Genomic DNA, 19,322 nt, shown 5'->3' on the forward strand with positions numbered 1-19,322 from the left:
CCATTCCACTCAGACACTCAGTTCTAAAGATCCTGTGGAGGAAATTCTATTTCAAGAAAGTGAGGATTTAATTAAATAAATACACATTTAATTTCCTGTGCTTGGTAGCTTTCGAGAGACAATCAGTCATTTACTCTAAAGTGTGTATCTCAGGCACTCATGGGGCGCTTATTAACCTCCAAATGCCACTGGCTCAGCGGGGTTTGGCCTCAGAAAGACATTTTGCTGATAACGGGTAGCCCTGCAGCAGGGCCCACATCCGTGCGCGACGTGAAAGGGATTCAATGTGGCCTGTTTTCCCTTGCAATGAGCGAAGCTTTGTGGGAGAATAGAGGACACTAATAATGAAGCTTTTGTCTTTCTCTATACAGCTGATACCTATGTGGTTGCCAATGATTCAGTCAAATATCAAGGTAAGTCACTCCCTGGGCTGATTGGAAGCTCGGTTTCCTGCAGAGAACGTATAACGTTCCTAGGGATTGTTGATGCTCCATTTACTATGGAGAAGGATGAATTCAACCTGCTCCTGGCCTTAGAGGGCTGATAATGCAGGAGACCTGTGGGCCAGGTAAGGGCTCTGCAGGCAGGGGGTGGCAGCAGGAACCATTGTCCTACTGCTTGAGGTTGGTGAGGATGCAGTGGAGGGCGGTATCCCAGGGTCTGAGCAAGCCTCAATCCACTGATGAGAGTACAGGCCGAGGCCGGGTGCAATGGCTTCTGTCTGTAATCCCAGCACTTTGAGAGGCCATTGTGGGAGGTTTGCTTGAGGCCAGAAGTTGGAGATCAGCCTGGGCAACATAGCGAGACCCCATCTCTGCAAAAGAATAAAAATTTAACTGGCTGTGGTGGCATGCACCTGTGGTTCTAGCTACTTAGGAGGCTGAGGTGGGAGGATCACTTGGAAGCCCAGGAGTTCGAGGCTACAGTGAGCTATGATCCTGCCACTGCGCTCCAGCTTAGGCAACAGAGTGAGACCCTGTCTCTATTTTAAAAAAAGAAATCAAAGAAATATAAATTGGAAATGAAAAAATAAACTGTCACTATTTGCAGTAACAAGATTGTGTATATATAGACAGAGCAAGACCCAGTCTCTCAAAAAAAAAAAAAAAAAAAAAAAAAGAGGAGTAGCATACCGACCCCTTGGAGGATACCTAGGCACATTCAGTGATGTGTCCTGGTTGCTAAAATGGATTTTCTATCATGAGAAGAATTCTGTTATGACAGGACAACCTCAAATAAATGATAGGATTGAGCTACAAGGAACCTACTGCCTCATTTTATATATGAAGAAATTTAGGACCAAAAGGAAGAGTGACTTGGTCAGGGCCCCACAGCCTAAAAGAGGAGATCCCGCCTGAATATGTTTCCCAGCCCCAGGCTTTGCCTTGACTGGCGCTTTGTCATTGTAGGGGCAAACATACTCTATGACCAGCAAACAGAGTTACTGGGCGTGACTTAAGATGGCAAAGCCAGCTGCCTGCTCCATCCAAACCGGGTCCTGTCTGTAGCACTAAGAGTGTCAGGGGGATGGGAGGAAAAGCTGGAAAGTTTTTTGCTGGGTTTCTTCTCCGAGTTGGGGAGGGATGCTAGTGGAAGGAAAGCGGTATGAACTCAGGGTACCCAGACACCAAAAGAGAAAAATGCGGCTGTCAACAATGACCACAGCCTTTGAGTCCTGATTACGGCCTTGGTGCTATTTGTGGCGGCCGTCGGGGGCATGGGCACTGCTGAAAACTGCCTCTCGGTACTAGTTTTTTCTGTGAAAAGAGAGTTTCTTGCACTCTCAGCTTGAAGCATTTTAAATTGCCTCTCTTACCCTTTCCCGGCTTTATGGCAATCTGTGGCGATTGCCCAGATGGCCAGGAGCAGGCCGACAGAACTCCCTAAGAAGCTTGGAGAAAGAAGAGAAGCTATCATCCTAGCTTCTTCATGTGCCAAGTTCTGTTCTGAGCACTTTTTTAACCCATTTGTCCTACACAAACCCCCTGAGTAAGTGTCACTATCCCCCCTTTACCCATGAGAAAACCCAAACACGGACCAATAAACCTTGTTCCCAAAGTCGCCTATAGAAGAGCCAGGCTTTGAACACAGGGATCCTGACAGCAGAACCCGGGCACTTCACCACCACACCAGGTCCCTGTCGTAAACAGTTCACTGGGGCCAAGTTTATGTGTTAGCCCAGCACTGGTGTGGCAGCTTTATGTTTTCATTGCAGTGAGTCTGTCAAGGTGAGCATGTCATTATTATGATGGGTTTGGGCCAGGACGACTCTAGAAAACACGGTGCGATCCCCCGCCCTGGGCACTGCCAGAGTAGAGAGTTTGCCTTCTTCAGGCCAGACAACCCTTGAGCCAAGCCTAAATTCTGCCTGCAAGAAGCCGCCCGGGTCGACACTCCCTGGGTTGCCCGTGAAAAGAAATAAACTAAAACCTCTTGCCCTTTTTCGACAGCACTTATCTGCGGGACTCCAGCTTCGCCTCCAGGCTATTCAGAACCACGTGAACCACCACAGCCTAAGGACGCTGCCGGGCTCGGGCCAGAGCAGTGCTGGCCTGGCAGCCCTCCGAAAGTGGTTGCAGTGCACTCAGTTCAAAATGGCCCAGGTGGAGATCCAGTCCTCGGAAGCAGCCTCTCAATTTTATCCTCTATGAGTGGACTCCTCGGCGCTCAGTGTCAACACTCTGGTTTAGCAATAATGGGTTTAAAAACAAACAATTTGATCCAAGCAGGTTGGGGAACATATTGGTACTGTACATTCTCTTTCTAGTTTAGTAAAAGATGTGCAAAGGCCAGAGAGGGCCGAAAATGAAGCTTTCTTGCTACACATATTTCTGATGACTCCTTGGGCTATCTGATTAAGTGTTTCCTTACATTATTTTTTAAAAACCAAATCATTTTTCTTTAACTAACTTCTATTTTTTTTAAGAAAAAAAAATAGACTGGTGGGTACTCACAGAAAAGTTGTATAAGTCCCCCTGTTGCTATTTTTGATGATAGAGAATAAATAGGGTTTTTGAAACCTTTGTAGTGTTTTTTCTTAAAATCCACTCTTGGCAATGCAATAAAAAAAACCGTCACCATAAGCCAGTGACACCTGACTGAAGCTTTTTGTCTTTATCCTGGGAAAAGTGGCAGCTTGCAAGGAACATTACAAAGTGCACTTAGAAATTAGGTGGTTAAACTGTGCCAATTGTTTTCGTTGTTTTATAATATCATTTTCCAAAACTGTCCAGTAAGTTTTATTATTTTTAAAACTAGTTTTTCAACTCATTAGTTCTAGGCTGTACTCTCTTGTAAGCTTTATGATAACCACTTTAGTTTTGTGAATAATAAATTTTATTCTTTTGTTAATACTTGTATACAATTTAATTGAAAACTGTAGCTTGCACACTGGACCAGATGAGTCCCTCACTGGCACAGTGCCCTGCACCTGGAGTGATGTTTCATAAAACGGAATTTTAATAGTGTAAGAGCACCAAGATTTCTCTGCACCTATACCTAGCGTTGGACTGTGCATTCCAAATGAAATTCCTCCTCTTTATCCCTGTAATGCACTGACTAACAGAAGACTTACTACACATTTAAACTGTATATTGACATGCTATTAAATGCGTTTTTTATTATCTTTGTGAGCCTGGGGTTTTTTAAAACCAGTTTATAGAGCTAGAGTTTAGTTCCTGACAACCATTCCTTCTAAAGTTCTACAGCTTCTAACTTCACTTAAAACTGAAATTATGAATAAGAAAAGGCTTTCTTTCTGGCCATTTGATGAGAGGAATACACAATTTGTTTGAAGTCCACCTCTAGGAAGGACCCTGAGGGCAAAAGACCTTTTTTTTTTAATGTTTGTTATTAAGGGGCTTCCTTTTTCTTCTGGGAGCTCTGAGATCTTAATGCTTCTCAGAGGAAAACAAGCCCTCAGATGTTTAATTGTTCATATGAGTTCTAGAAAGAGTGATCTTCAAATCTTCATCCTTATACAAATTGCAGAGGACCATTCAGGCTCAGTATGGAGAGTACAGAAGTGATCATTCTTCATATCTGGCTAACAAACTCTTCTGAAAGGCCTCTCCCTGGACAGAACCCTTCTCCGTCTCAGTCATGCTTGGCTGAGCTTCCGTGAACATTTTGTCTCATAGTCAAGTTGTGCATTTGTTTATCTCACTTGTAAACGGTGACAGCTTTGAGCATACGTGCTATCTCTGTCTCCTCATGGTTTGGCACACAGTACATGTTTAATTAATGTCTATCGAATGGAATGGATTCAGTTAAGCAACAGGCCTTGCTTGAGCTCCCCATGGGCACCATGAGCTTTGCATGTGACATTCTCTTTTTTTGCATCGGTTCCTGGAGGAGGAGGAGGCTCTGGCTGCTTCCCCTGTGAGGGTTTCTACTGACATCCTCATCTGGGCTCAGCTGCAGGCCTGGCTCTTGGCTAGTCCTGAGCCCACCCTGCCCCAGGCAGCCAGGATCTTAGTGGCCCCATCCTACCAGTAGACAAGGTCCAAAGTTACCCACACCTTCTTCTCCCACTCCCTCTTCTTTGCCCAGTTCTTTGAATGGACTTCTGCCTGAACTTTTCTTTGTGTTTGCATCTTCCCCAAGCTGCAGACGAACCCTTAACCTGGCACTCTTGACTGGGGCCCCCATTTAATGCTTCCAACTGTCTGGACCTGTTTCCTTGACCTAGAGTCTTGGTCACTCCCAGGCAAATCTCTCTCCTTGCTCTTGAGAACCAGGACCCTTTTCCCTGTCAACTGACCCAAATGCTGTCCCTGCTGGCACCCTGCCACTTCACTGGCTGATGGAAACTAGTGAGCTTCCCCCAGCCTATGCTGCACCCGCCATTGCCAGTGTCCTCATCTTCTTCCGCAACCTCATGTCCACCCTCCAACAAGTCGGGCTCAGGCACTTCGATGAAAAAAAGAGAGGGGACCAAAAGCTTCCAACCAGTTGGGCTCAGGCACTTAGAAGAAAAAAGGAAGAGAGGGGACTTATGGAAATTTAGCAAGATTGGCACTAATAATAAGTCGGAAGAGAACCCATTCACCTAAGGCAGAGGAGTCAGCACCCTCCGCTCACAGGTGCAATGGAGCCCACAGCCTGTTTTTGCAAAGTTTTAGTGGAAACAGTCACACTCGCCATTTACATATTGTGTAGGGCTGAGTTTGTGCTACAATAGTAGGCAGAGTTGCGACAGAGACTGTATGACTCAGAATGCCTAAAATATTTACCATCTGGCCCTTTACAGAAAAAGAGTGCTGACCTCTGACCTATGTAAAGGCCCCTGAAAGGCACTGAGCTGGAGCCAGCCCTTCTGTGGATATATTTCCCTTACCACCTTAGGGGCACTGGGATTTCCATATTAGTGTTTCCTCATCTGTAAAATGGGGACAATGACACACATTCTACCTCAGAGGGCTGTTGAGATGATGAAAGAATGCAAGAAAAGGGCTTAGGGCAACACCTAGCACGTGGTAAGCACTTGTTAAAAGTTACTGATTATTCCTTTTATTCTTATGTTTAAGCCTGGAGAAGTAAAGCTACTTGCCCAAGGTCATGCAGCTAGTAAGAGGCAGAGCCAGGACTTGACCCAGGCTATCAGACCCCCAAGGACTGTGCTCCCAGCCGCTGCCCATATGAACTTCTGCCACAGCACACATCATCCCCAGGTGATGGCCACAAATGCAGAACAGAGGGCAGGGAGATCTCAGCAAAATTTACCTGATCCAAATTTGACCAGCACTAATTATTGGCGTGGAGAACGGCCACAGTACAGACTGTTTTCCTTTCCACATAGCACCCTATTGGTTTCAGTGTGTGAACAGAATACACTGAGATTCCCAAGGGTGGAATCGGCCCAAATCTCCAAATGTGTAGATTCTATTCTTAATGATTTTTCACAAAGGGCATGCCTCTTATGAGTTGGGTGACCTTGGACAAGTTACTAAACCTCCCTGGACCTCTGTTTTTCCTTCTCTGTAATATGGTGCTGTCTACCCATCTTCCTGGGGTGATGGAAAGCTCAAATGGGTGGAGAACTGTGATGGTACTTGGGAAACTGCGCTGGAATCTGTGCATCCCTGGGAAGACTTGCTGCCTCCTGAAGAGCACACAGAGGGACAGCTCACAGCTACAGGCTCATTTGGTTTTGTTTCTTCAGCCAGTGCCTCAGGATTAAGACCTACAATACCCAGGAGAGCCCAAACATGGCAGTAGCCAAGAGCATCCAGTCTCCACTGTGTACCATCTCTTAGCAAGCATGTCATTCAGCCTGACACCGGGATGTTTCCAGCAAATCTCTTCCCGAAGACTCTCATCAGAGGCCAAGTGGTTGCAGCAGATTCGTCTCTGTTTCCAAGCTACAACAGGCCAAATAAGACTGGATTGGATCAGAGAAGATGGGTCCTCCCATCTCTTTCATGAGCTGGGCCCCTGGCATTAATTGGACAATGCAGATCGTTTATTATACTTCTTTAATAGAACTGATGGGCAAATATGTATATTTGGAAAATTGGTGTTTTGACAGTAATGGTAGGTTCTTAAGAAGAATGAAGGGAGTGGTTGGAACCCAATGGAATAGTACTGAACCGTGTTTTTGTGGAGTTTGAATGCTTTGGGAGACGGCTGATGTGTTATTAGTAAAAGGCTGGCCAGTTCTTCACTGACAGGAACGAGTAGTGAGCCTCAGTTGAAGGGGATACAAGAGAAACAATAATAGCCACCATTTATTGAGCATCTACTAGATACAAGCACTCTACATACATGATTTTTATTCCTTAGCCCCTTCCCCTGGGTGAGATAAGCCTTGTTATTATCCCCACTTTGCAGGTGAGGCAACTGAGGCCCAGCGGTTAAGTGCCTTATCCAAGATCATGCAGCTAGCGGGAGTAGCATTAGGACTGAAGGCCGTCTGCCTCCAAAGCAGGGCCTCACTCAATACATGTTCATTTCTATTCCCTGTTTTTGGGGTCTAGGCTCCTTTGGCTAAAATGTGCCAGAAGCATGGGGTAGAGAGATCTGAGGGTCTTTTTCTTTGAGGTGGCTCAATGTTATCGGCATCTCTGTTTATCACTTCATCTCACATAGGCATTTTTCCCCTTGCTTTGGGAATTCATGTACATGCAAAAAAAATTTGGATTACAAATTAAATCACATTTAGTTTCCCACTTAATATAGTAGTTTTAGGAGAAAGAATAATTATGAGTAGAAGATTGTGATGATAGGGCTGGGCACGGTGGCTCATGCCTGTAATCCCAGCATTTTGGGAGGCCGAGGCAGGCGGATCACCTGAGGTCAGGAGTTCGAGATCAGCCTGGCCAACATGGTGAAACCCCGCCTCTGCTAAAAATACAAAAATTAGCCAGGCTTGGTGGTGCGTGCCTATAGTCCCAGCTACTCAGGAGGCTGAGGCACAAGAATCGCTTGAACCCAGGAGGCGGAGGTTGCAGTGAGCCGGCCGAGATCGTGACACTGCACTGCAGCCTGGGTGACAGAGCAAGACTCCATCTCAAAAAATAAAAAAATAAATAAATAAAGATTGTGATGATAAACTCTGCTAGATTAGGGGCCTATTGAGGGTTTACCCAGCCCTAAGGAAACTTGCCCCTAATTACTTATAATCATAGTGACCAGTAGGAGAGCTTGTCATATATAGCAGTTTTGATATAGTAACTTCACAACAGTTAATCTTCACAACAATGCTGTGAGGCAGACACTTCTATTATTAACCCCATATTAGAAACGGGAAAAGGCAGGCATGGAGAGATTAAATAATTGCAGGAATCATTCAGTAAGAGATAGAGCAAAATTTGAATCTGAATATTTCTGCCTCCAAAGCCCAGGTTCGAGCTATTACATATTACCAATAGCTAAATGATAGGAAGCCCCTTGTTACTCATCTGACCTCCAAGGTAACCTAGAGTCATTTAGATCACAAGTTACCAGCTGGCAACCTGCCGGCTGGCCCTGGCCCAGAGCATATTTTCTTTGCTGCGCTTGAATTTCTAATTTCTTCCTTTGGTCTGGATACTTCTGGTGTAATATGCAGTCTCCAGCTTTGCTCAGTTCCCGCCACTGACCTCAGTCTCCAAAGCAAGAAGAACAACCCACCAGCCCATGGGCAGAAATCCTGCCACCTCGGGGCTGGTTTACAAGGCCTGGTGTGCTCATTCATTCACCTGCCTGGCCCTGCAGGGCAGTGGTTTTGCTCTCCACTTTAGACTGGCTCTCCCATTTTATGGGCCAAGAGGGGTGGGATGTTCCCAGCGCCACTCAGCCATGCTGTCTGCCCCATGTGGCCCTTCCTTTCCCTGGCATCACTCCTCTGCCCCCACCTGCCCCTCCATATGCCAACCATCAGCCCTGACCCTGTTTCAGGCCAGGGCTGTTCTCTCCAACCCACGACCGTCCTGGATTCCTCTCACTCAGAGAAGCTGAGGTCAGGTGGGTGGGGCAAGGTGAGCCCCTGGCACCAGCTCTTCCCTGCAGGGTGTGCAGGACCTTTGTGGAAGCCACAGATTTGGCTGTTTTAAGAACAAAGAGCTGGCTTTTTAATTATGCAGCCCAGACAGGCTCCCCGCAGGTGGGTGGAGAGGGAGCTCCCCAGGGCTGCCTAGCAGACGCCCTGATTTCCACTCCTTGAAGTGGCCACTTGGAGAAGGAACCAGCAAGCAATCAAGCATGAAGGACAGAAAAACTCTCCAGGTGAGGACAATCACTCTGCCCAGTGGGGATGCAGGGTGTGGGGGGCTCTGCGGACAGCAGGGTGTGCCCAGGGCCTCCAGCTTGCAGTGCAGAAGCTGGGCTCCCATGCTGGGCTCGGGTGGGGGAGGCAGGTGGAGAGGAACCCAGACAGGGCTTTGCAGCCAGGTTGGTTCTCAGAGTTGGAGTCTGGACTTCCTTGCTAACTTGCTCTCTGACCACAGGTGAGTCATTTAATCTCACTAAGCTTCAGTTTCATCAACTGCAAAATGGAGATGACAATTCCTCTTTCCTGTAAGGAGTGAAGGGAATGATGGCTGTCACGTACCGGGCACAGAGTGGGAATCCCAAACAAGAATGGGAGCTAACCTTGATGAGGCACGCCCTACTCGATGCATGCCTGGCTCTGTGTTAAATTCCTTGCAGTCACACAGCCATTTATTCTTCAAATTGTAATGCCGTGTGGCAGCTGGTGTTTTGCTGAAATGAAATCACAGCTTGCAATGGGCATTTGGCTCCCATTCTTCTGAGCGTGGTGCTCCCACGCTGCTGGCTTCGTGTGGTGACTCACGGCCCACTCACGTCTCTATGTTTGAATGAGCAACCGGGAAATCCTCCTCCATATGGTGCGTTCTGCCAGCATTTGGACTTCACACGGTGTGAGCGCATGATTGGGTTTGGAATGGGGATAATATTTTGAAAATAATAAATGGATATATTCTTTATTCTTCTCCAGGAAACCACGTGCCCCTGTCTAGTTCCATGGATTTCATGGGGCAGGAGGAAGTTGGGATGTAGGGGAAGTTCTGGCAGACAGGACGAGGAGGCAGACAGATCACCTCTTCAGGACCGCAGGGGATTGTCAGCAAGAGAAAAAGGGAGACAAATTCAGGGGGGCGCTGGGAGGCCAGGTGGGCGTGTCTTCACCTTCCCTCTTACGGGTGAGGATGTTGTAGAGATGCCCAGTTGAAAAGGCCCCTGGGAGCCCTGGAAGATGGTGGCGCATAAACCTCGAAGAGAGGCATCCACAGCCCTCCCTGAACCAGGTGAGTGTGCAGAGTTCAAAAGTCTCCATGGGCGTTCAGGAACACGTACAGAGGCTGCAGTCAGGAGGAGGAGGCTGCTTCGAGCCTGGACATTTGCAACTGGAGTGATGGGGGCAGGGGTCACCCTTCGCCTAGAAAAGCCCAGGCACAGCCCCACAGTCACCTGTCCAGGAAGCAGCCCAGGCCAGCCCCTCTGCAGCAGAGACCTGTGAGAACCCAGAAGATGCCGTGTGGCCTGAGCCCAGCTCCCCTGCACCAGGCTACAGATATCTGCTCAGGGGTGCCTGCGGGTGCTTCTTACAGGGAGCAGCCCAGGAAGATGCCTCAATGACTAAGGGTCTATCTACAAGACCCAGAGTCACCCAAAAGACTCTGGTCAAACCAGAAGAGGCTGCAATGCCATCAATCCACAAATTCAGGGTTTTTATTCCTCTCCCCCCTCACACCCAGTGAGGCAGGGACTCTGGACAGTTATATGAAATAAAATGCTATTTTTTCCTTTATGCCTGTGTGTACTGTGTAAAATGTATAACCCACTGTTAATTAACAAATATTTCCCATGCCCAGCACGTTTGGATGTTTGGAGGGCTGGATGTTTGATGACGAATAAGGCCCCTGCTCCCGCCATCTTACATTGAAATGGGAGGAGAAAGGCAGGTACACAGATGGGCAATTGTTCTTAGGGGCTGAGAAGTGCTGTACTGAAAATAAACTCAGGTGATAGAATAGAGAATGATGAGATGTGCTCAAAGAGAGCCACAGGTGGTAATCGGAAAAAGAGCCACTGGAGATTATCTCCCGCAACTTCACAGATGAGAAATCCGAGGCTCAGAGGGAAAGAGCATTGCAGAAGTCACATATGAAGAGATTTTGTTAGACCCAGGGGTCCCTGACTGCAGCTGCTGTGTGCTTCCCACGGCAGGGGAGATACTCGGCTATAAATCCAGCTGAAATGGACCATTTAAAATCCAAGGAACTGTCTGGGTTGGAAGAGCTTGGAACTAACTTGTAGCCACACAGAGCTAGGTCTGAATTGCACTCTGTGCCTTAACTGCTTTTTTTTTTTTTTTTTAACCCCTTGGTAAGCCACTTAACCTCAGTTTACTCATCTGTACAATGGGGGTAATCTTCCTGCCTCCTAGGCTTGCAGGGACTATTAAAGAGATAAAGTACATGAAGCCCTGGGAAGCTGGCCCTGAGTGTCCCTTTATGTCCACACTGTCGTCATTGTCACTGTGCACATTGTGGGGCCATTGCCACCACCACCCTACCCCTGGAGGGCAGGGGCCTTGTCTTGCTTCCCTCTGTATCCCCAGGACACAGCACGTGTCCCCAGTCAACACTAGGATATGAGTGAGCAGCCGCTGTCTAGGGACTGCCAGGCTCAGGCAGTGGAGGATAACCAACTGGAAACATCCGCCAGAGAGGGCAGAGAGTGGGAGCTCTGCGTGCAGGGCTGTCTGTGCCGCCCAGGAGAGGGGGCATTCCTCTGGCTCTGTGCATGCATGGCTTTATGATCCACGTGTGTTCAGCGAGGAGGCTGCCTCTGAAGGGGACCTGGATAGCAGATGAGTGGTGGCCAGGCAGAAACTGGAGGGAGAGGTGAGCTGGGCAAGGACAGCGAAGCCCAGCCAAGGGGTGGGCGTGGGAACTCGAGGCTGGCAGTGAGTGTGGTTTGCTGGATGATGGGGCGTGGGGTGGGGTGAGCAGTGAGGAGTGGGGCTGGGGAAGCCTCGGGGCCCAGGGCAGCTAGACTAAAGATGGGTCCACAGCAGCCAGCAGGGTGGGCTTGAGTGCTCAGCTGGGCAGGCAGGGGTTGCGTGGAGTGAGGAGAAGCCTGAGGCAGGTAGAGAGAGGGAGTGGAAGTAGGGGATGGTATGGGGAGGAGCTGGGTAAGTGGAGGTGGGTTGGAGAGCAGATGGGAGGGCCCAAGTAGGACTCACCAGGTTGAAGGAGCTGGGGACCTCTGAGGTTTCCAGCTGGGGCCTCTGGTTTGGGAAGCTGAACTCTGTGTTCAGTGTGGTACCTGGCTGGTAGCAGAGCCACTTAAGGATCTGGGGACTGACTGACTGGATGAACATATGATGGAGAGCAGAAGGAGCCCCAGAGGAGAGCCCGGAGAGGAGAGGAGGACAGGCTGGGAATGCGGCTCCACCTGCCCCCACAAGCAGGCCCTCACAGAGCTGGATCTCCCAGACAAAGGCAGCCATAGGTGTCTGGAGCACAGGCTGTGGACACCACTTGTGCCAGGCATGGAGACAGGGCATCCTCCATGTGTCACAGGACTGGTCAGCTACTTCCTAAGTGGGAGGATGGTAGAGGAACAGGAAGCCAGTCACTCAATGGGGGCTGTCATGAGCCTGGTGATGTGGGTGAGTCTGCCCAAAGGTGAGGCCACAGAGCGGCCACGTTACTGAGCCAGCTGCCACCCGAAGCCAGCGCAGCAGCTCACTCAGGCTCACAGGACCATCTTCTGTGATGTCACACCATAGTATCATGTGTGAGGAAGGCAGGAGGAAGAGCCTTCCTGCCATCACTTGCTCTCATGCATCCAAGACAGTAATTCTGCCACCCTGCCAGGTGCTGGGCAGGGATGTTCTGTGGGTCCTGCTGCATCTCCCACCTCACGGGCAGCAGCAGGACCCCAGAGCAGGACATGGAGCTGTAAGGTGGCCAGAGCATAGTTTGTCATGTTGGCCATAGGAGCTGTCGTCACCAGTGGCCAAAGTCCCCAAAGGTGTGAGGTGGAGACACTGGGCTGGCCCCTAGGAGGGCTCTGACGCTGCACCTGTGTGCTGATGGCTCCCGGCACCTGTATGCTCAGCCGATCACCACCTCCCTCTGCCAGGCTGGCCCTGAGTCCCCATTCCCAGGCCCCTGCACAAGCAGGCAGAGCACTGCACATAGGCCTGCCACTCCCTGCTGGCCTCCGAGCTTGCTGCTGAGGACGCCTGGGCTGAGGGTGCACAGGAGTGGGTGTGAGGCCTGAGATGTCCCACTGAACCCTCACCAGCTTTCAGGCAGGCCCCAGGAGGGGGCCAGTGGACAGAGGAGCCCTCACTATCACACAGGCTCTTTCATTAAAGACAACAGTGACAGTCATTGTAACAATGGCCATCTTCTACTGCGTGTCTACTGCGTCTTCTACTGCGTATGCAGGCCAACAGCAGCTCACAGAATCCCAGGTGCGAGGGGCGCTTGTAACAGGAGTGCCTTTAATAACTTCCATGTTCCCTCCATGTCCCTGATGCCTGGGACACAAGCCCTTCCCTGAGTTCCTGCACTGAGCTCCTGTCCCCTGGGCTGTGAGCCCAGTTAGGGGGATATACCTGCCCACTGGCTCTGGGCACACAGGGCTCTTAGCTGGCCCTCACTGAGCTAACTCTGAAGCCCCAGGGAAGCCAGGCAGGGGTGGAGAGAGTCTGAGTTGTGGCCCCTCGCTTGTGCCCAGTGGCCGGGCCTTGAAGGCACCAGGCTGGGTTCAACCCCCAGCCCCATCCCTGTTTCCTGGTATGTGCTTGACCTTGGCCATTGTGCTCCATTTCTGACCTGTCTCCTCACTCCAAACAGGAGGATGAAGATGCTGCAGGTGCAACTTTTTCTCTCTTCCTACATCCCTCCTGGCCCATCACACCGGAAGCTCTTCCCCACGGCTGCTTCCTGTGAGGCTTGCCTGAGGGTGAGGCTGGAGCGGGGAAAACAAAGCAGCGGGGTGGTGGCGGGAGCTTGAGCCTGGGGGGCCCTGTGCCCTTTGGGCCCCTCTGCGTGGGGGTGCAGGGCAAGCCTCCATTCTCCATGCAACTGGCCAGGTAAGGAGGCTTTGCAGAGCAGCCTGTGGGTGCTGAGGTCTACACATGGGGTGGACATCCAGGAGGCTGACCCTGGCCACCGTCACCCTGTTGGTGTGGCCGGCTGATTCCTGCTCCCTGTGATTCCTGTGAGCACTTGTCAACTTAGGGCGACCTTCTTGTCCCATTTTCCCCAGATATCCCCGGTTTTAGCCCTGAAAGTCCCAGGTTCAGGAGAATCTCTCAGTCCCAGGCAAACTGGGAAGGTTGGTCGCCCTATTCTCAATTAAGTCAAGGGTCAAGGCGGTGGGTGGCAGGCTGAGGGACAGAATTGGCCTTTGAAAGCCCCATAAATACCGACCCTGGGGCGTTGGGATAAAACATACAGAGATATCCCATGGAAGGTCCCCAGCCCAGCCCTGGGGTATAGCAGGACCCTAGTGAAGGATCCCCCCATCCCTCAGGCCGGCCTTCTCCTTTCCCCCACCCCACAAATGACAACTGACAGACATCTCTATATTTTTATTGAAAATAAAAAAGTCATGGTGCTTTCTTCCTCATAAGTGGCATATGGACACCCCCAGTGCTGCCGGTCTCGCTTCCGGTACAAAAGTCTCAGCAGGAAACCAACCTTAATGGCTTGTTGGTGGATAAGACGGCATCAACTTGTACATTTGCCCATTGAGAGAACTCCCAGGAGCAACTGTCCTCTCTCCAGTACACGCGGCACGTTGCTAAGAAGGCAGATTTCAGGATATTCACATTCATGCATTACGTATCTCACACTACCTGGGCAGTTTAACTCATACTTTGTACAGATGCAGAGAGTACAGTAGTTGTATTTATATATATATATATATGTAGAGATCTCTTTAAATATATATAGCTATATATAATATATATGTTTATATGTTTACACCTATTAGTCTTTCTTCCAAAACTTCCTTTAGAAGCTTCTTAGGAACACCTGAAACCTCTGGGAGATCCTATGATCTGAGTTCCAAAGTTGGGGTCAACTGTGAGACGGCTGGAAAAGATCTATTTGAGAAAATGAGAAGGGAAGTGCATTTCATTCTTGACCTCAGGGCTCGGACTAGCCTGAGGATCGGTGTGTGTCTAGAGACTGCCGGCTCATTTTAAATAAAAGTTCTAAGCTCAAATACTAGGCCGGCAGGGTTTTAAGTACCCTTATGTCTCTGTAAGCTCAAAATCTAGTGGGTCTCCCTTGCTGTGCCGTATACTTGTTTTTTGAATGGGCGGTCTTGGGCTTGAGGTGGGGGGTGGATATTAAGTGAATCTTTTAAAAAAACTAGGCTCTTCCCTTGATTTTTGCTAACTGGGGTGAGAAGGGATTTTACAAGCCCAGCTGAGAGGGAATTTATGTGCAGACTAGAGCCCTGGATGCGTCAGCGGCTCAGGGAAGAGGATACAGGCCCCAAAACGTGGTGATGGCTCAGCTGATTCCTCACCAGGGAGCCTCGCCTGGGGCTGGAAGATTAGGCTAACTGCAAAATCCAGGCCTCCTAGGTTTAAGCCAAGGTAGGGAATGATGGGACCAGGCGAGTGTGCGCAAAGCTGGGCTGTGCCCAGCCCCTTCAGGCTGCCCACCACTCCATGGTCCCTTAGCCAGGAACCTCCCCTCTTAGAGAAGGTGCCCTCTGATCACTCCTGAGCTTCTGGACAGCCCAAGGCATGGGCACTTTCTCATGGTTGCAGCACAGGGTGGTGTGTGCTTAGGGCTAGGGTCCTGCCCAGGGGTCTGCTTAGGGCACAGCTTGGGGGTTCAACAGGCACCAGAAGGCTGAAGGCAGTAGGGGAGAGTGCCCTGGGGTGGGGTCTGCTGGGTTTCCCCCTTTAACCTGCTGCTGGCCCACACCCTCTGGCCTATTTGTCAGCTGGCTCCGCACCTCAAGAGCACTGTGAAGTACTGGCCAGGTCAGGAGCAGGGGGTGGCACTATGCTGATGCCCAGGTGTCCAGGGGAAGCAAAATTCAAATCTAAACCCCAAACAAGTCCTCAAATAGAAGGAAATGAGGAAAGAAGAAAACCCCTTTATGGGAGGGTATGCCCTGGGCCTGTCCTCAGCCCACACCTGATGACCTGGGCAGGACAATGACACACAGACAGCTCCGTGGGCACTAGGACTCTGGGACAATGGGCTTTTTAAGGTTCGGCCCAAATGGGGACCGGTTTTCAGGTGTGTCTGTCTTCTCTGGACTTCAAAGTCTCACCTGTAGCTTAAACACCTATCAGAGGAGCACACTGGAGGTTTAGGAGGCAAACCAGGTCTTAGAGGGCTCGACAGTGGAACCATTCAATGCATTGGGCTCCTTCTGAGCACATATGTAGGGGTGGTGGGGAGAGCCAGGGGGCCAGGAGTGTCCCACTCATTTTCCAGGAGATGCAAAATCACCCTGTCTCCGTGGGTTTCCTGATGTGGCCCACAGGGAAGGCTGCCACTTGGGAGACAGGCCAACAGGGCAGGGGTCACCAGCCTGGAGGACCCCTCTCCTCCTGTCCCATTTCATCCCTTGATCCTCCAACCACGCTGGAGGGCTCAGCGCTTCTATAGCATGAGACTGTGGAAACAGACATTGAAAGGAAGACCCTGGAAGAACAACACCTCCTTCTTGGCGACTGGGGCTCGGGGTAGGGTAAAATGGGGAGATGATGGAGGACTCTGGGAGAGGGCCTGAGTACAACAGTCAGGCCTCAGGGGACTGTGGGGGACATCCAGCGCCTGGCCAGCATCAGCCTGGTACAGCAGGCCCACAGTGGATTTGGCACAAGTAGTGGCCTCTGCTGACTAAGGCAGGGCCTGGCTCACACAGATGCATCAGTTCCTATGGGGTCAAGTGTGGGGATGAGTCTGAGGACAGGTGCAGTGGCCTCTGCCCTTGCCCAGTGGCCCTGGGCTGCGGGTTCAGTGAGTCGTTTTGCCCCCGGAAGGCCAGACACTGCCCCCGAGTGTAAACGCACTCCTGTGTCTGCTCAGGAGGGGATTCTGCAGGCTGGACTCACAGCCCTCCATGGCAGGCAGTCAGGAGCCTAGGGTGTAGGGTGTCAGTGGGGATAGGAGGGAGAAGGCAGGCCCTGAAGATTGACAACAACTGCAGATGGGGCGATGAACAGATGTGTGGGAAGCACCTTTGAAAGGGGACGTCTGTCTGCTGGCTGTGCCGATGGCTTCTGTTGAGAATGTGAACAGTGGAGCAGGCAGGCTTCCTGGGAGGAGGAGAGGTTTTCCGGCAGGGAGTGGGCTCCGGACCATCTTTCTTTTGGCTAAAGGGGGAAGCCTCCCTGCCACAGTAGAAAGACAGATCCCTCTGGCTTCGCCAGTGCGCATGCTTTAGACAGCAGCTGGGGGCAGTCGACAGACCAGACACCAGACAGGGAGGAGGATGTGGAGGGCCTGGGGTGGGGACACTGCCCAGGTGCTGCGCCGGGCTCAGCCTGGTGTCCGAGCTGCCTGGGCCCGCAGGCTGACCAGGGGCAAGCCTGGGAAGACAATGGTTTCTCCTTCGGGAGGCTCAGGGCCTGTGAGGCAATGAAGTCCTGGACAAGCTCAGGGTTAGCTCATGTCCACCTGCTTTCCCATGTCCACCAGTGCCACCAAGGTGTCCCTCTGGCCAGCGGGTCCAGGGCCTGCAGACTCACACCACTGCGTTGTTCACGTCTACTCCTTTGTTGCTCTGCGAAGCACTCATGGGATACTCAGCAACGCTGGTGCCATTTTCGTCTTTTCTCAGTGGTTTCCTGGAAGTGGGGGGAGGGGACAGGAAAGGCAAAGGAGGGGGAGGCAGGGACACCATTAGTTATCACTGATGGTGGGGTGTAACCTCCAGCTAGCATCCCTGCTCCGTGAGAGTGTCAGAAGGAAGCCAATGGCTCTGTCCTCGGTTAGCATCCTTGGGCTGCTAGTCCTTGTGGGGTTAATCAGAAGCTGGACGTGGTCTTAACTCGGGTGTCATGAAAACCGGGGCACAGTTGAGAGGGAAAGAGGGGAGCTATTAATGATGAAGCAGGGACAACAGGTATGAGTCCAGGCTGTTTTGGACAAACAAGAAAGTATGTTCAGTCTAGCACGATCAGGCCTTGACTGATCTCTTCGATCAGGGCAGAGACAGTTAACAGAAGAGAAGTGCTAGGGGTTGAGTTCTGCAGTCTTCCTCAGTGTGGGCAAAGGCAAATTCAAAATGTGATGAAGCAGATGGTGCTAGTGGTGATGCTGGTGGTAATGGGGTGGTGGTGGTAGTGGTGATGCTGGTGGTAATGGGGTGATGGTGGTAGTGGTGATGCTGGTGGTAATGGGGTGGTGGTGGTAGTGGTGATGCTGGTGGTAATGGGGTGATGGTGGTAGTGGTGATGCTGGTGGTAATGGGGTGGTGGTGGTAGTGGTGATGCTGGTGGTAATGGGGTGGTGGTGGTAGTGGTGATGCTGGTGGTAATGGGGTGGTGGTGGTAGTGGTGATGCTGGTGGTAATGGGGTGGTGGTGGTAGTGGTGATGCTGGTGGTAATGGGGTGGTGGTGGTAGTGGTGATGCTGGTGGTAATGGGGTGATGGTGGTAGTGGTGATGCTGGTGGTAATGGGGTGATGGTGGTAGTGGTGATGCTGGTGGTAATGGGGTGATGGAGGTAGCAATGGTGATGGTGGCAGCAGTGATGATGCTAATGATGGTGGTGATGATAGTGATGGTTAGGGTAATGGTGGTGGTGATGGTTCGGTTGACAATGGTGGTGATGGTGATACTCGTGATGGAGGTGATGGTGGTGTTGAAGGTTAAAATGCTGGTGGTGATAGTGATGGTGGTTATATGGTGGTGGAGGTGGTATTGGTGGTGGTGATGGCAGTGGTGGTGGCGATGGTGATAGCGGTAATGATGATGGGGTGATGATGGTAATGATGATGATAGTGGTGGTTAGCGTAATGGTTGTGATGGTTGGGTTAACAGTGGTGGTGATGGAGGTGATGATGGCGGTGATGATGGTGACAGTGGTAATGAAGATGGGGTGGCGATGATAGTGATGGTAATGGCAGCGGTGGTAGCAATGATGGTGGTGAATATCTACACTAAGTTAGTACACATCAGTGGTTCCTGAACACTTTAAACTGAGCCATTTGAAGCTCATTCCAGAGGGCCCCTAACCCCAAAAGTGGTTTTTCCTACGCATATAAGGGATCAGGAAGGCTGGGAGGGAGGCTCTGAGAAGGCTGTTGCTCACTTGCTGGGGTTCTGAAATTACAGTGTACTTTTGGGCCTGGCTCAAGTCTCACTTCCTCCCTCCCTCAAGTTGTTCAGGAGGGCTCTGGCCCCCAGCCTGAGTGTCTGTATCCTCCTGGTCTAAGCCACATGCTCTCTGTAGCCCAATTCCATGCCACAATTCCGCTATCTCATCCCCACGGGGCTGTAGCCCAGCCCCCTCCAGGGTTCCCAGGGGTGCCAGGGTTGAGCCCGGATCTGCCCTTGCTGGTAGCTGTCCAGGCTGGACACTTATGGTCATTATCATAGGCCCAGGAGTTGATTGCTTCTGCCTTTTCAAATGTTCCCAGAGCCTCCCCAGAGCCACAGTCAGAAGGGCTGGTGCCTGGTGACCAGCTCGATGTCTCTGGGATAAAGCCCTGAGTGAGTGAGTTCAGAGGAGGCAGGGTCTGTGAGGGGATCATTAGCAGTTCATGGGAAGAACAATCAGGCCCACTCAGAGACTACACACTGAGCTCAGTCTGGTAGCAAACTGTTCCCTTTTCTCCTGCAGCAGAAGTAGCTCAAAACTTCTGCTAAGCAA

At 50.8% G+C, this 19,322-nt stretch overlaps 2 protein-coding genes and 1 long non-coding RNA gene across 35 annotated transcripts in view, besides 1 other annotated feature; 2 read left to right on the forward strand and 1 right to left on the reverse strand.

Moving 5' to 3' along the window:
• The window catches only part of UNC79 (unc-79 subunit of NALCN channel complex), a 374,695-nt gene extending 371,072 nt beyond the window's left edge, over positions 1–3,623 (forward strand). For all 32 annotated transcript variants that reach the window (XM_011537027.3, NM_020818.5, XM_011537026.3 and 29 more), the window contains 2 exons: positions 372–413; positions 2,451–3,623. In XM_011537027.3, coding sequence (XP_011535329.1) covers positions 372–413; positions 2,451–2,651 — 243 coding nt within the window. In that variant the 3' untranslated portion in view covers positions 2,652–3,623. The remainder of the gene's footprint in view (positions 1–371; positions 414–2,450) is intronic.
• Positions 2,428–2,928: an enhancer, noted in NCBI's record as "H3K4me1 hESC enhancer chr14:94173027-94173527 (GRCh37/hg19 assembly coordinates)". NCBI's record gives its function as "activates a minimal SCP1, AML or CMV promoter by ChIP-STARR-seq in primed H9 embryonic stem cells {active_cell/tissue: H9 hESC(primed)}" and the evidence as "EXISTENCE:reporter gene assay evidence [ECO:0000049][PMID:30033119]".
• On the forward strand, positions 8,418–10,254 carry LOC124903367 (uncharacterized). The gene is made up of 2 exons (XR_007064313.1): positions 8,418–8,706; positions 9,440–10,254. It is a non-coding gene; the product is annotated as an uncharacterized LOC124903367 (long non-coding RNA).
• PRIMA1 (proline rich membrane anchor 1) overlaps positions 14,045–19,322 on the reverse strand; it is a 70,697-nt gene continuing 65,419 nt past the window's right edge. For both annotated transcript variants that reach the window (XM_011536456.3, NM_178013.4), the window contains exon 5: positions 14,045–17,293. In XM_011536456.3, coding sequence (XP_011534758.1) covers positions 17,191–17,293 — 103 coding nt within the window. In that variant the 3' untranslated portion in view covers positions 14,045–17,190. The remainder of the gene's footprint in view (positions 17,294–19,322) is intronic.

This window comes from Homo sapiens, chromosome 14, assembly GCF_000001405.40.
Source record: "Homo sapiens chromosome 14, GRCh38.p14 Primary Assembly".
Taxonomy (NCBI): domain Eukaryota; kingdom Metazoa; phylum Chordata; class Mammalia; order Primates; family Hominidae; genus Homo; species Homo sapiens.